General features: G+C 36.4%; 1 protein-coding gene across 1 annotated transcript in view; it reads left to right on the forward strand.

Moving 5' to 3' along the window:
* Nucleotides 1-12,919, forward strand: part of ATP6V1C1 (ATPase H+ transporting V1 subunit C1) — a 51,969-nt gene that overhangs the window by 19,335 nt on the left and 19,715 nt on the right. The window contains exons 2-6 of the mRNA NM_001695.5: nt 381-551; nt 1,923-1,990; nt 8,453-8,538; nt 10,633-10,727; nt 12,314-12,405. Coding sequence (NP_001686.1) covers nt 420-551; nt 1,923-1,990; nt 8,453-8,538; nt 10,633-10,727; nt 12,314-12,405 — 473 coding nt within the window. The 5' untranslated portion in view covers nt 381-419. The remainder of the gene's footprint in view (nt 1-380; nt 552-1,922; nt 1,991-8,452; nt 8,539-10,632; nt 10,728-12,313; nt 12,406-12,919) is intronic.

Genomic DNA, 12,919 nt, shown 5'->3' on the forward strand with positions numbered 1-12,919 from the left:
AAAAAAAAAAGTTTAAGATAAACCTATAAATTTGTAACTCTCCAGCTTTGTTGGTTGAAGGAAACTATTGGTGGCTGGTATTTTGGGTAATCTCACTTCTTGGCTAACTCCCGTTAAGGATGTTTTATAATGAAAAAAAGTAGGTACTTCACATATTAGGTTTTTATCACCTCACTTTCCTAGTATCATAAATAAATCGTTTTTTCACCATTTGTGTAGATTTATTTCGAGGTAGGTAAATTTCACTTTGCTTGAGATCCTATGCCAACATTAGATTAGTTTTGAAACAGGTTATATGTTATAACTTCTCCTATGATTCTGAAACACTTTAGAAACAAATGATTTTAAATGTGATTTTTTTTATTTGTTTTACATTTCAGAATCTCTCTTGATTTTTGAGGAAATACCTAGTAACAAACATGACTGAGTTCTGGCTTATATCTGCTCCTGGGGAGAAAACCTGTCAGCAAACATGGGAGAAATTGCATGCGGCAACTTCAAAGAACAATAATCTTGCTGTCACTTCCAAGTTCAATATTCCTGACTTAAAGGTGAAGCTGCACTGTGCAAAATTATATATGAGTTCATCATCCAGGGGAGGGCCAGTTCTCTCTTTTAGTGGAAATGAGATACCCAGGTTCCTTCCAAAGAAAACCTCCTCTCCAGCCATTGGCATGATTTAAAATGTGTCTTCTTTGAAATTTTAGAAGTAAACTACCAAATTGAAATAATGTCTCTCTACTTAGGCTTTTTGTGCTCTTCTAAATTGCAATGAAAAATCTTATGAAAATGTTTGATGTGTTACATTCACAAATATGATTTTCAGAAATTAAAACTCTTAGTAATATATATTCTTAAATATCATAGTGAAGTTTTTGTTAGTAAATTTATATTATGCTGATTCTTACATTGTAAATGTGTTACCATGGCACCTACTTAATCACACTTGGCAAATCTAACCCAGTTATTTAATCCGGTTAATCTATGTAAGATTCACTCTTATCAAAGATCAGTCATCTAGCAGCCTCAAAGTAAAGCAGGTGTCCAGTAATCAGTTGATGGAACATTTGTAAAGAATGGAAAAGATCATGATACTGACATTTTGCTGGTTAACTGAATGAGGGAGTCGTAGGCAGCATTCATTTAAGAAATATTTAAAATGACTGATTCTTGGTGGGGCATCATGGCTCACACCTGTAAACCTAGCACTTTGGGAGGCTGAGGTGGGCGGATCACTTGAGGTCAGGAGTTTGAGACCAGCATGGCCAACATGGTGAAACCCAGTCTCTACTAAAAATACAAAAATTAGCCAGGCATGTTGGTGGGCACCTGTAATCCCAGCTACTTGGGAGGCTGAGGCAAGAGAATCGCTTGAATCTAGGAGGTGGAGGTTGCAGTGAGCCAAGATCATACCACTGCACTCCAGCCTGGGAGACAGAGTGAGACTCCGTCTCAAAAATATAAATAATAAATGCAATAAAATGACCGATTTTTAATATTTTTGGAGTTACGGATACCTTTGAGACAAGATGTTTCCTCCAAAACGTACTCACTTATGCACAGTTTTGCATGCAAATTTAATTACAGACCCTCTAGCGCACATCCGTGGACCTCCTACTTAAGAGCCTGTGTTGTAAACTAAGACTTCAAATGATCCAGTGTCATTGAATAGTACAAGCACAGACCTGTCTTTGAGGAGTCTTCAAGTCTTAAGTGGTGCTTATAACCATGAATTAAAGGATTATCTTGTACATATAAATAGCTTTGAAATGTCTGGCAAACATCTTTTAACTGTACTTACACATTATGAAATAAAATAGGGAGAATTTAAGATTTGTGAGAACTTTAGGTCAAGATGAATCATCTTGTTTTTTTTTTTTAAAAAAGCATGCCACCTAAATAACAATATATTTTCCTTTTAGGTTGGCACGTTGGATGTCTTGGTTGGCTTGTCAGATGAACTGGCTAAACTGGATGCATTTGTAGAAGGGTAATGTACTTATATGCATGGAGTAGAGCAAAATGGGAGACACTATTATCAGGCTTCATGGACACTGGGTTTATTATCACATGTATACTCTGCTTATTGGAATGGTTTTAGAAAACGACTTTTTTCCCTTCGTATATCAATTTTATGAAGGTACAATTTACATAAAATGCACCTGTTTGAAATATGAAAATGCTGATTCTCTTTTTACTATCTTTAATGGGATATAGTTTACATGCCATGCATTTCACCTATTTCAGGTGTACAATTCAGTGATTCTTAGTGTATTCAGACTTGTGTAACCATTGCCACAATCAGTTTTAAATATTTCATCATCCTCTATTCCTGTTCCCATTAGCAGTCACTTACCGTCCCCACCACCCACAAATTGTTCTGCCACTATAGATTTGCTTGGTCTGGACATTTCTTGTAAATGGAATACAATACGTGGTCTTTTGTGACTGTCTTCTTTTGCTTAGCATAATGTTTTGAAGTTTATCCCAGCAGTTGCATGTATCAGTATTTCATTTCTTTTTATTACTAATATTCCACTATATATGTATACATATATATCACATTAATCCGTTCATCAGTTGATGGGCGTTTATTTTGTTTCCACTTTTTGGCTTATAAGAATAATGCTGCTGTGCATATTTGTGTAGAAGTTTGTGTTCTTAAATGTTTTCATTTTTCTTGGGTATGTACCTAAGAGTGGAATTTCTGGGTCATATGGTAACTCTATGCTTTGCTTTTTGAGGAACTGACAAACTGTTTCCCAGAGTGGCTGTACCGTGTAATATTCCCGCCGGCAGTGTATGAAGATTCTCATTTCTCTACATCCTTGCCAGCACTTGTTATTATTTTTATTATTTGTCTTTTTGATTATAGCCATCCCAGGGGGTATGAGATAATATCTTTGTTTTTTTTGTTTTTTTTGAGACGGAGTCTCGCTCTGTCGCCCAGGCTGGAGTGCAGTGGCATGATCTCGTCTCACTGCAACCTCCACCTCCTGGGTTCAAGCAATTCTCCTCCCTCAGCCTCCTGAGTAGCTGGGATTACAGGCACCCACCACCACGCCCAGCTAATTTTTTTTTTTTTTTGTATTTTTAGTAGAGACGGGGTTTCACCATGTTGGTCAGGCTGATCTCAAACCCCTGACCTCGTGATCCACCCACCTTGGCCTCCCAAAGTGCTGGGATTACAGGCGTGAGCCACCGCGCCCGGCTGATAATATCTCATTTTTAAAAATTTGTGTTTCCCTGTTGGCTGATGTGATGTGATGTGTTGAGTATCTTTTCATGTGTTTTTTTGCCATTTGTTTTTCTTCCTTGGAGAAATGTCTATTCAGATCCTTTGCCCATTTTTAATTGGCTAGCCTTTTTATTATTGAATTGTAGAAGTTCTTTATACAGAATATGCAAGAGATAAATCCCCTATCAGATATAACTTGCAAATATTTTCTCCTGTTCTGTGAGTTGTCTTCATTTTCTTTTTTTCTTCTTGAGACAGAGTCTCGCTCTGTTGCCCAGGCTGGAATGCAGTGGCCAGATGTTGGCTCACTGCAGCCTCCGCCTCCTGGGTTCAAATGATTCTCCTGCCTCAGCCTCCCGAGTAGCTGAGATTACAGGTCCCTGCCACAATGCGCAGCTAGTTTTTGTATTTTTAATAGAGATGGGGTTTCACCATGTTGGACAGGCTGGTCTCGAACTCCTGACATGATGCGCGTGCCTCAGCCTCCCAAAGTGCTGGGATTACAGGCGTGAGCCACCGCGCCTGGCCATGTCTTCGTTTTCTTGATTGTATCTGTGAAGCACAAAAGTTTTAAATTTTGATGAAGTCCAATTTATTTTTTTCTTTTGTTGCTTGTGTTTTTGGCATCATATCTAAGACACCATTGTCTAATCCAGGGTTGTAATGTTTTATGTCTATGTTTTCTTCTAAGAGATTTATAGTTTTAGCTTTCACAGTGAGGTCTTTGATTCATTTTGAGTTAAGTTTTATGTATGTTGTGAGGTAAGGGTCCAACTTGATTCTTTTGGATGTGAATATCTGGTTGTCCCAGCACCATTTGTTGAAAAGACTGTTTTTTCCCCTTTGAATTGTCCTGGCACCCTTACTGAAAATCAATTGAACATAAATATGAGGGTTTATTTCTGGACTCTCAGTTCTGTTTCACTGATCTATGTTTCTCTCCTATGCCAGTACCACATTGTCTTGATTATTGTAACTTTGTAGTAAGTTTTAAAATCAGAAAGTGTGAATTCTCCAACTTTTTTTTTTTTTTTTTCAAGATTGGCCATTCTGGGTTCTTTGTCTTTTTGTATGAATTTTAGGATCACAGTGTCAAATTTCTGCAAATAAGTCAGCTGGAATTTTGATGAGGATAGTGTTGAATCTATGTATCAGTTGGGGAGTAGTATCATCCTAATATTCTTGTCTTTATCCATGAACATCGGATGTTACTCCATTTATTTGAAGATGGTTATGCTTTTGTCTTCAAAATTCAGTTGGAAGAGTTTTTCTAAATTGCAGTTTTTATTACTTTTGAAATTCAGGTACATGTGTATTTGAGCTGAAAATGGTTATAGGCTCTTTGATAACTGCATTTTGATTAGTTGGCAGAATCAGTCTACAGTTCCTTCAACTCTGGGGATACAAAGATTTTATTTTAGAGTTTAGATACACAGGTGTAATTTGTAAAGTACAGAATTTGGAGACTCTCAGAAATGTACATTTGATTGAAGCTTTAAGGGAATAATAGGCTTGGATAGAAGGGAATTTTTTCTTGAAATCTATCCAGAAGATTTTCTCATTTCTGCTGTTAAAATGCTTTTCTGAATTGATAGAACCACCTGAAAGCGATGCTGTGGCAATAGAGACTGAGGTCAGGGTTACAGAGAGAGAGAGAGATCTTTTAATATAACACCATGTAGTGAGGAAGTAAACAGATCTAAGGATGTATTGATGTTCTTTAATATTGGAGTCAAGAAGGCCACTTAGCAGTTTCACAGTAGGTTAGTTAAGAGATAGTAAAAGCTCAGTTGGGACCAGACACTTGGCTCTTAGAATGGAAAGAGAAGATGAAAGGAAAAGCAACTTTTAGGATTATAATTCCATATATTCATATAGAGCAAATTATTATTATGAATTATTATAAATATAGTGAAAATAATTATGATGCACTCAAAGCACTAACTGATGGAAAGAATAGTCTCTTGGTTCCTTGCTTATACATTTTTAATTAAGAAAAAAATGGGCCGGGCATGGTGGCTCACGCCTGTAATCCCAGCACTTTGGGAGGCCAAGGTGGGCGGATCATGAGGTCAGGAGATCGAGACCATCCTGGCTAACACGATGAAACCCCGTCTCTACTAAAAATACAAAAAATTATCCAGGTGTGGTGGCGGGCGCCTGTAGTCCCAGCTACTCGGGAGGCTGAGGCAGGAGAATGGTGTGAACTCGGGAGGCGGAGCTTGCAGTGAGCTGAGGTAGCGCCACTGCACTCCAGCCTGGGTGACAGAGCGTGACTCCGTTTCAAAAAAAAAAGAAAAGAAAAAAATGTGAGGGAACTTTTTTTTTTAGTTGTCATCCCTGGAGTGAGTCTTCCCTGAGGTCTCATCTACCTCATTACAGTTACAAGTTATGACAACCAAAGAGACACTGAGAAAGGAGGTCCCTGAGAATATAATTATTAACATTTATTTATACCCTTATTAGTCACCTTGATGGCTTTATAGTTCTTTATCTTTAAATTGTTAATGGGATGTCCTGAATATAATTTAAAGTTTGCTCAGATTTTAAATTTTATTTATTTTTTTTTCAGAGACAGGGTCTTGGTGTCACCCAGGCTAGAGTGCAGTGGTGCAATCATAGCTCATTGCATCCTGGAACTCCTGGGCTCAAGCAGTCCTTTTACCTCAGTTTCCTGAGTAGCTAGGACTATAGGCTTGCACCACCACACCCAGCTAATTTTTTTATTTTTATTTTTGTGGACATGGAGTCTTGCTATGTTGCCCAGGCTGGTCTCAAACTCTTGGCCTCAAGCGATCCTCCCACCTCAGCCTCCCAAAATGCTGAGATTTCAGGCATGAGTCACTGTGCCTAGCCAGCTCAGATTTTTTAGGGAAGGAATCTGAAAAGTATTAAGGACAAATGTAGTTAGTTTGGTGAGTAGAATTTAAAGTTACCTAGGCAGTGTGTCAGCTGTTCTTTTCTTCATTGTTCGGCAAGCACATCTTCTTCAGTCCTCCTGAATGATAAGAGGAATTTAAAAATCATGTCGTTGTTAGACTTTGGTAGTATTGACAGATGATAGCTTAATGACTTAAATGCTCCAAGTGTTAAAGGCCAAATATTGTAGAATATGGTATATGTGGTAAATCATAGTTTGTACTTTCTTAAAAATGTAATCATTAGAGCAGATATTTTTGAGGTGACATTGTGTACATTGACACAGATCCTCTTGTAAATAGGCATACGGAGATCTTGAAGTTCTGGGTTATGCAACATTACGTTTATAAATTTGACACCAGGTGATTCTACACTCTGAAGTACTTCTATGGGTAAACATGCAACATTTTAGAATGTTCGTAGCAAATGGTTCTGTTTACAAGATGCTTGCCAAATTTTATGAGAATGATTTGTCCCTTTTGAAGGAATGGGTGAATTTTGGAGACATAGGCAAGTATATGTATAAACCTCAAGTTAAACATGTTGAAGATTTAGGACTTACATCATTATTTCTGAAATTGTTCTGATTTTTAGGTTTGAGACCACTCAGCATAGGATTGTCATTTAAATTTAGCTCTTCTGTCACCTTTCCTGGCTCATATTGGCTCTTGTTTAAACTGTTAACAAGCCAGGCTTGTGGCTCACACCTGTAATCCCTCCTGCTTGAGGGGCCAAGGCAAGAGGATCGCTTGAGCCCAGATGTTCAAAGCTGCAATGCACTGTGATTGCACCACTGCATTCCAACATGGGCAGTAGAGTGAGACTCTCTCTTAAAAAAAAAAAAAAAATGCGCGCGCACACACACACACACACACACACACACACACACATTTTTTTTTTAAGGAAAAAAAACCATTACAGGAATTTCTTAATTTGTCTTCCAGTTTCCCCTCCTAGCTGTTGAGCATGTAGTCATCAGAATACTTGTCCTGAGCCCTGTTTCGACTGTGTTATGTCCCTGTCTAGAGTGTGGCTTCAGAGGCTGTGTATCTGCAATCTGGCATCCCACTTTCCTAGCCTAAGCTCCCCTACTTCTCGGCCTGCTGCTTCCATCAGTCTGGACTTCTCACCATTCTCTGGATGCCTACTGCTTTTCCACCTCTTATCATGACTCATAATATGCCCCATGGCAACGATATGCTTTCTTCCCATGTAATCATCCTTGTAAAACCATTTCTGTCCTTCATCGCCCTACTCATGAGCCTTTGGGCTTTCTTGATTGGGTAGCTGCTAGTGATCCCTTTTTCCTTTCTCTCTCTCTGTCTGCAACCTGGCAATCTCAGCTGGCACTGACCTCAGATTGCTTTGTATTTAGTAATTTATATATTTTTGGATCTTTCCAATGAGATTTTAAGCAATGTGTGAAGGTAGTGATTTTGTCTTGTATGATTTTGAATCCCACCCAGGGCCTAGAGGCAGACATGGAATAAGGAAGAGAACGCTGGACTCCAAAGTCAGGACAACATGTTTCTAGTCACAGCTCTGCCGTTAACTGGTCTTGTGACTTTGAATAAGCCACTTATTCTTTTATACCTCAGTGTCTTATAAATGAAAGAACTGACAAGGTCATATGTAGGTGACTTGGTTTAGGTTGGTGCAAAAGTAATGGAGTTTTTGCCATTTTTTTCCCCCCTAAAGTAATGGCCAGAACCACAGTTACTTTTGCACCAACCTAATAGTTTTGGCATTATGGCTTCCTCTATAGCATAGCTCCTTGTAAATAGTAGATGCTCAATAAACAGTTAATGAATTAATAATGTAGGACTTAGTTTTTCATCATGACTATTGCTTACGTTCTCTTGCCTGTCAGGTCCCTTTCTTCCTAAGGGAAAGCACAGTGTCTTGCATGTCATAGGAACATAGTGAATGCTAGTTCTCAGCCTCCTCCTTTGTTCTCAGTCCTTAAATTGTCTAGTTTCTTGGCATATAAATATATGGCTATTTACAGACTCTTTCTCACTAGCTTCCCATGACTTACTTTCTAGACTAGGAGACACATTGCATGTAGTCTCCTTAAAACCCTACAGTTACTCTGTTGATTTTTGCATGTAACAAAGTCTTGGTCCATTTTATCCTTAAAACATTATAAGGTAAGATCCATTTATTGTGTATTATATGGATAGGTATAATGGGAACATATAGTCAAATTCATGTCTTTATGTAATATGTTCATTGTATAGAATGGAATTTAGATCTTTTTCCTGAGAATGGTTGTTGATATTTTTTCTTCCCCAGAGTGGTTAAGAAAGTAGCTCAATACATGGCTGATGTATTGGAAGATAGCAAAGACAAAGTTCAAGAGAATCTGTTGGCTAATGGAGGTAAGCTAATGCTCATGATTGATCATTATTAACTCATACAAAGCAAATAACTAAGCTACAGAAACAAAAAGTAATGTAAAAAAGTCTACAGAAAAGGACACTAAATACAATAGAAAGCCATTAAAATACAATTATTATTACTGAATTTGGTGATACTTCCAGGTACATCCTGTTCCCTGAAACATAATCTCATAGAAGACAGTCTTACATAATATGTAATATAGCTTATAATATGATGCCAAGTCTCCTGCAAGAGCAGTATTGTAAAGGTTTGTCTTAGTTCTTTCCAGGTTCTATTTATTCACTCATTTACAAGTAAGTTTCCAAGTTGTATATCTCAGCATTGTTCCAGTTGAATACCTGCTGTCTTATGTAGGTTTTTGTATTTAATAGTATGTAACTGTTAAAGCTTTAGAACAGAAATTATTAATTTTATTGCAGAATAGTGCCCCCTCAGTATGATTTTGGCATTTCTTTACTTAATACCCGTAAAATAGCCTACTGACTTCTCTGTAGCTAGAAGCCAGTATTTACATAGAGTTTGCTCTATGTAGTAATGACTTTAGAAAGATGATTCTGACCCCATTGTTGTCATTTGTACTTGCATTTCTTGTTTTCTTATGAAATGTCATTTTAGCATTTTGCTTCATTTAAAATCAGCCCATCTCTAGTGATACGTTTTTATAACAGGAAATAATGAGCTGGGCATGGTGGCTCATGCCTGTAATCCCAGCACATTGGGAGGCTGTGGCAGGAGGATCTCTTGAGTGCAGGAGTTCAAGACAAGCCTGGACAACACAGGGAGACCCTGTCTCTAAAAAACCCAAACAAAAATAAAGAAAAAGAAAAAAGTTACCTGGAAGTAGTGGCATATGCCTGTAGTCTCAGCTAGTCAGGAGGCTGAGGAGGGGGGATTGCTTGAGCCCAGGAGTTCAAGGCTGCAGTGAGCTACGATTGTACCACTGTACTCTAGTCTGGGTGACAGAGCAAGACCCTGTCTCAAAAAAAAAAGGAAGAAGGATATAACCCTTTATAACCTTTTCCTTTCATTCTCTACAGGATCACCTACTCTAATAAGGTTACTATATTTTAAATCCAGTGTTCCTGAAATCTCATTTCTTCTTGCAAATAATAGCTGCTCAATAAATTTTTAATCAGTTAAAAATGTAGTAACTTATTCTTGCTCTTTGTTATCAAGTAATTCTGATCTCATTGTTTGCTGTGTCTGTTAATTTGTGTTTTGAGAAACAACGAAGGTATGTTAGATATTAATAAGTTAATTTGTGTTGCCTTTACTGATCTTCTACGTATTTTATGAACTAGGGCAGTCAGTCTAGTAGGTGGAATGGTGGTTGACCAAGAGGGGCAGTGCATCTAGATAGAGTTGCTTTTGGAAATACCATCCGTGTTGTTGACTGACTGGTATTATGTAAGGAGATATTGAGAAGAGAAAGATATTTTTATATGAATTACTTCCGTCAGTTGGCGCTGCCATAATTACCATTTGGTTTCACCGTTCTTGATCCCTTTAGGGGTGAAGTCACTTTGACTACTAAACTTCCAAGGAATAAGTTGTTGAGTATTTTTTTAGCTCTACATGTTTTATTCTTTCCATTTGAAAGTGAAAGGGTCCATGTTTTGAAAATTGTTAAAATGTGGACTCCTGGAAACAATCATCACATGGTTTTAACAGACAAGTTTATTTTCAGTTTGTTTGGGTAAGTTATCAAAGAAAGAACATACTTTTATGAAATTCTACTTATTGAGGAGATAATTTGAAGTAGTTTCTTAATCTTTATGTCTCCTACATATGAGGCATATTAGGAATATGTACATATTTCATTTTTAAAGTAATCAAATTAGAAGGAGCATCTTAATATGTATTAAAGTTTGAGTAAGGAGAAGAGATTACAAGGTAGAAATTTTGATTAATCCATGTTACTTAATATAGTTCACATTTAATCAGGATTCTTCAGAAATGACATCTTTGCTGATTTCCTCAATGCCAATTTCAGCATTAAAATATATCGCTGTGTAAAAAACTGAACAATTCTATTGTTTTTCTTCAGTAATTAATTTATTCCCTTATTTCAGTGGACTTGGTTACTTATATAACAAGGTTCCAGTGGGACATGGCCAAATATCCAATCAAGCAGTCCCTGAAAAATATTTCTGAAATAATTGCCAAGGTAAGATAATACTTGAGACAAGTAGGACACATTGATTTGTAGTGGCTTTGCTTATTTTATAATTTCACTATGAAATACTTTTTAGGTTTTGATAAGGCAACTTAATTATATTTCACAGAAGAAATCCTTACAACTTAGACATTAAAAGATGTTAAAAAGTATAACACTTTAATGTGTAGATTATCTAAGTTGAATACTTAGTTATGTAATTAACTTAAATATTACATCAACAGTGTTTAAGAAAGTGTGAAAATTCTGTATTTATACAAATTTTAAGGGTACCCAAGATTGTGTAGAATAGGAAATTGGAGTCTATTAAGATTTCTTAGTCATTCAGGTAGGTGATAGTAGTCACTGAAGTATGTTTATGTGCATACAATACTTGTTCAAACATTAAACTCTATGGATTCTCTGACCCCTTCGGACTATTTAGTTTTGATCCTCTGCCTGGAAAAATTCCCGTATTCGTGTGCCACATAATTTTATGTAGTTTCAGGGAGTACATGGACCTTGAAGCCGATGCATGAACCCACCAAGTTAAGAGCTCCTTTTATATTGAGAAATCCTTGAACTTGAAAGGAAATCCTAGAACTTGAGAGGAAAAAAAAGTCTTTTTCCCCCCAAGATCTGTTTGTGGAATAAAAGTCTTAACAGTAACTATAATGAGACAAATAGACAAGGACCTGTTAATTGTTTGCCAGCATTTGACCTGGCTGGGGCAAGAAGTGTAGTTTAAATTATTGGACAGACTTTCCTTGGCTCCCAGTAACTTTAGTTATGCGGTGTGCTGTATAGTTAAATGTAAATAAATAGACTATCAAAGATTTTAACTAAAGTCATCATGTAATTTGATGACTATAGTTTAAGAAACTATTATTTACATTACTTGATAATATAAAGTGGTGTTCTTACTATGACTGAGCCTTTTTTTCTGTATCCTTAAGGATTTGATCATCTGCTTCCTGATGCTGTTGTAGATAGGAAAGCAGGCTTAGAGAGGTGAAGTGACTTACCCTCGTGCTACACAGCTAATAATGCTAGAGCTATGTTAAAGTCAGTTCTTCGAATGTTGTTTACTTCACATTTTCTCCCCATGTAGTTAGTTTAGTATTCTTCTGAGAAAAACAGCTTTTGTAACATTTATGAATAAATTCAACTATAATTTTAATTTCATAGAAAAATACTCTGTGTAATAGTGATGTTTGCAGTAGTCAAAACTCTTCATGTAATTTAGTTTACTTTGGAAAATATCCTTCAGTCTTGTGAATTGAAGCCTTGTAAATAGTAATCTCCAAACCCAGTGGCCTAGATTCCATTTCCATGGTTTAAGAAGTAATATAATTAAAATACATGTGGACTAAAACATTATTTTTAGTTGAAAAGATTTATGTGGAAATTATATTTAAAATGAAGTCGGCTGTTTTTTAAATGACCTCCTAAAGTCGTGCTTTTAAAATAATAGAATATTCTTACACTAGAAACTAGTGGGTTTTTTTGTAGAAGTTAAAGTTTAGCTACTTTGATAGTATTAGTAGAGGCAGATTTAGGAAAATTTTATCTATTTTTCTTCTTTTTCTTTTTCAAAGGGAGTAACTCAGATTGATAATGACCTGAAATCTCGAGCATCTGCATACAATAACCTGAAAGGAAATCTTCAGAATTTGGAACGAAAGAATGCGTAAGCAGATCAAGTATATTTGAGTACTAAGAACTGGGGAAGCATACTAGCATGCACCGAAGGAGATATTGTTGGGATTTAGTTAGTTTCAGTTTATGTTGTTCTGTAATCAAAATGGTATTTCTTTTACTTCATGGAGAAAAGCTCACTAAGGTAAGTTTATAGAATTCAGACTAGTCCAAACAGATGTGAGGCTGATTTATTATACTTGTTTTATAAATAATACTTGTGAACTGGGTCCTGGCTTATTCCTTTATCCATTTGATATTTCACTGAAAAATAGTCTAAAATTAATTGTTTTAAATGAAATCATAGTTTAACTGCATAGTAATTACCTATCACTTAACTATAGAATAATCCTTTTATGATGTAATAGTTATTCTCTTATCTGTTTTCAGAATTTAGGTTTTTCACTTGTTAGGTTTTTTAAAATAGGACTGAATTTTTTTGGTTGATCCCCTTGTACTATGACTACTTCAAGTGCAACTTTAAGCATGAAAGTATTCAAGTTGTG

Source organism: Homo sapiens, chromosome 8 (genome assembly GCF_000001405.40).
Source record: "Homo sapiens chromosome 8, GRCh38.p14 Primary Assembly".
Classification (NCBI taxonomy): domain Eukaryota; kingdom Metazoa; phylum Chordata; class Mammalia; order Primates; family Hominidae; genus Homo; species Homo sapiens.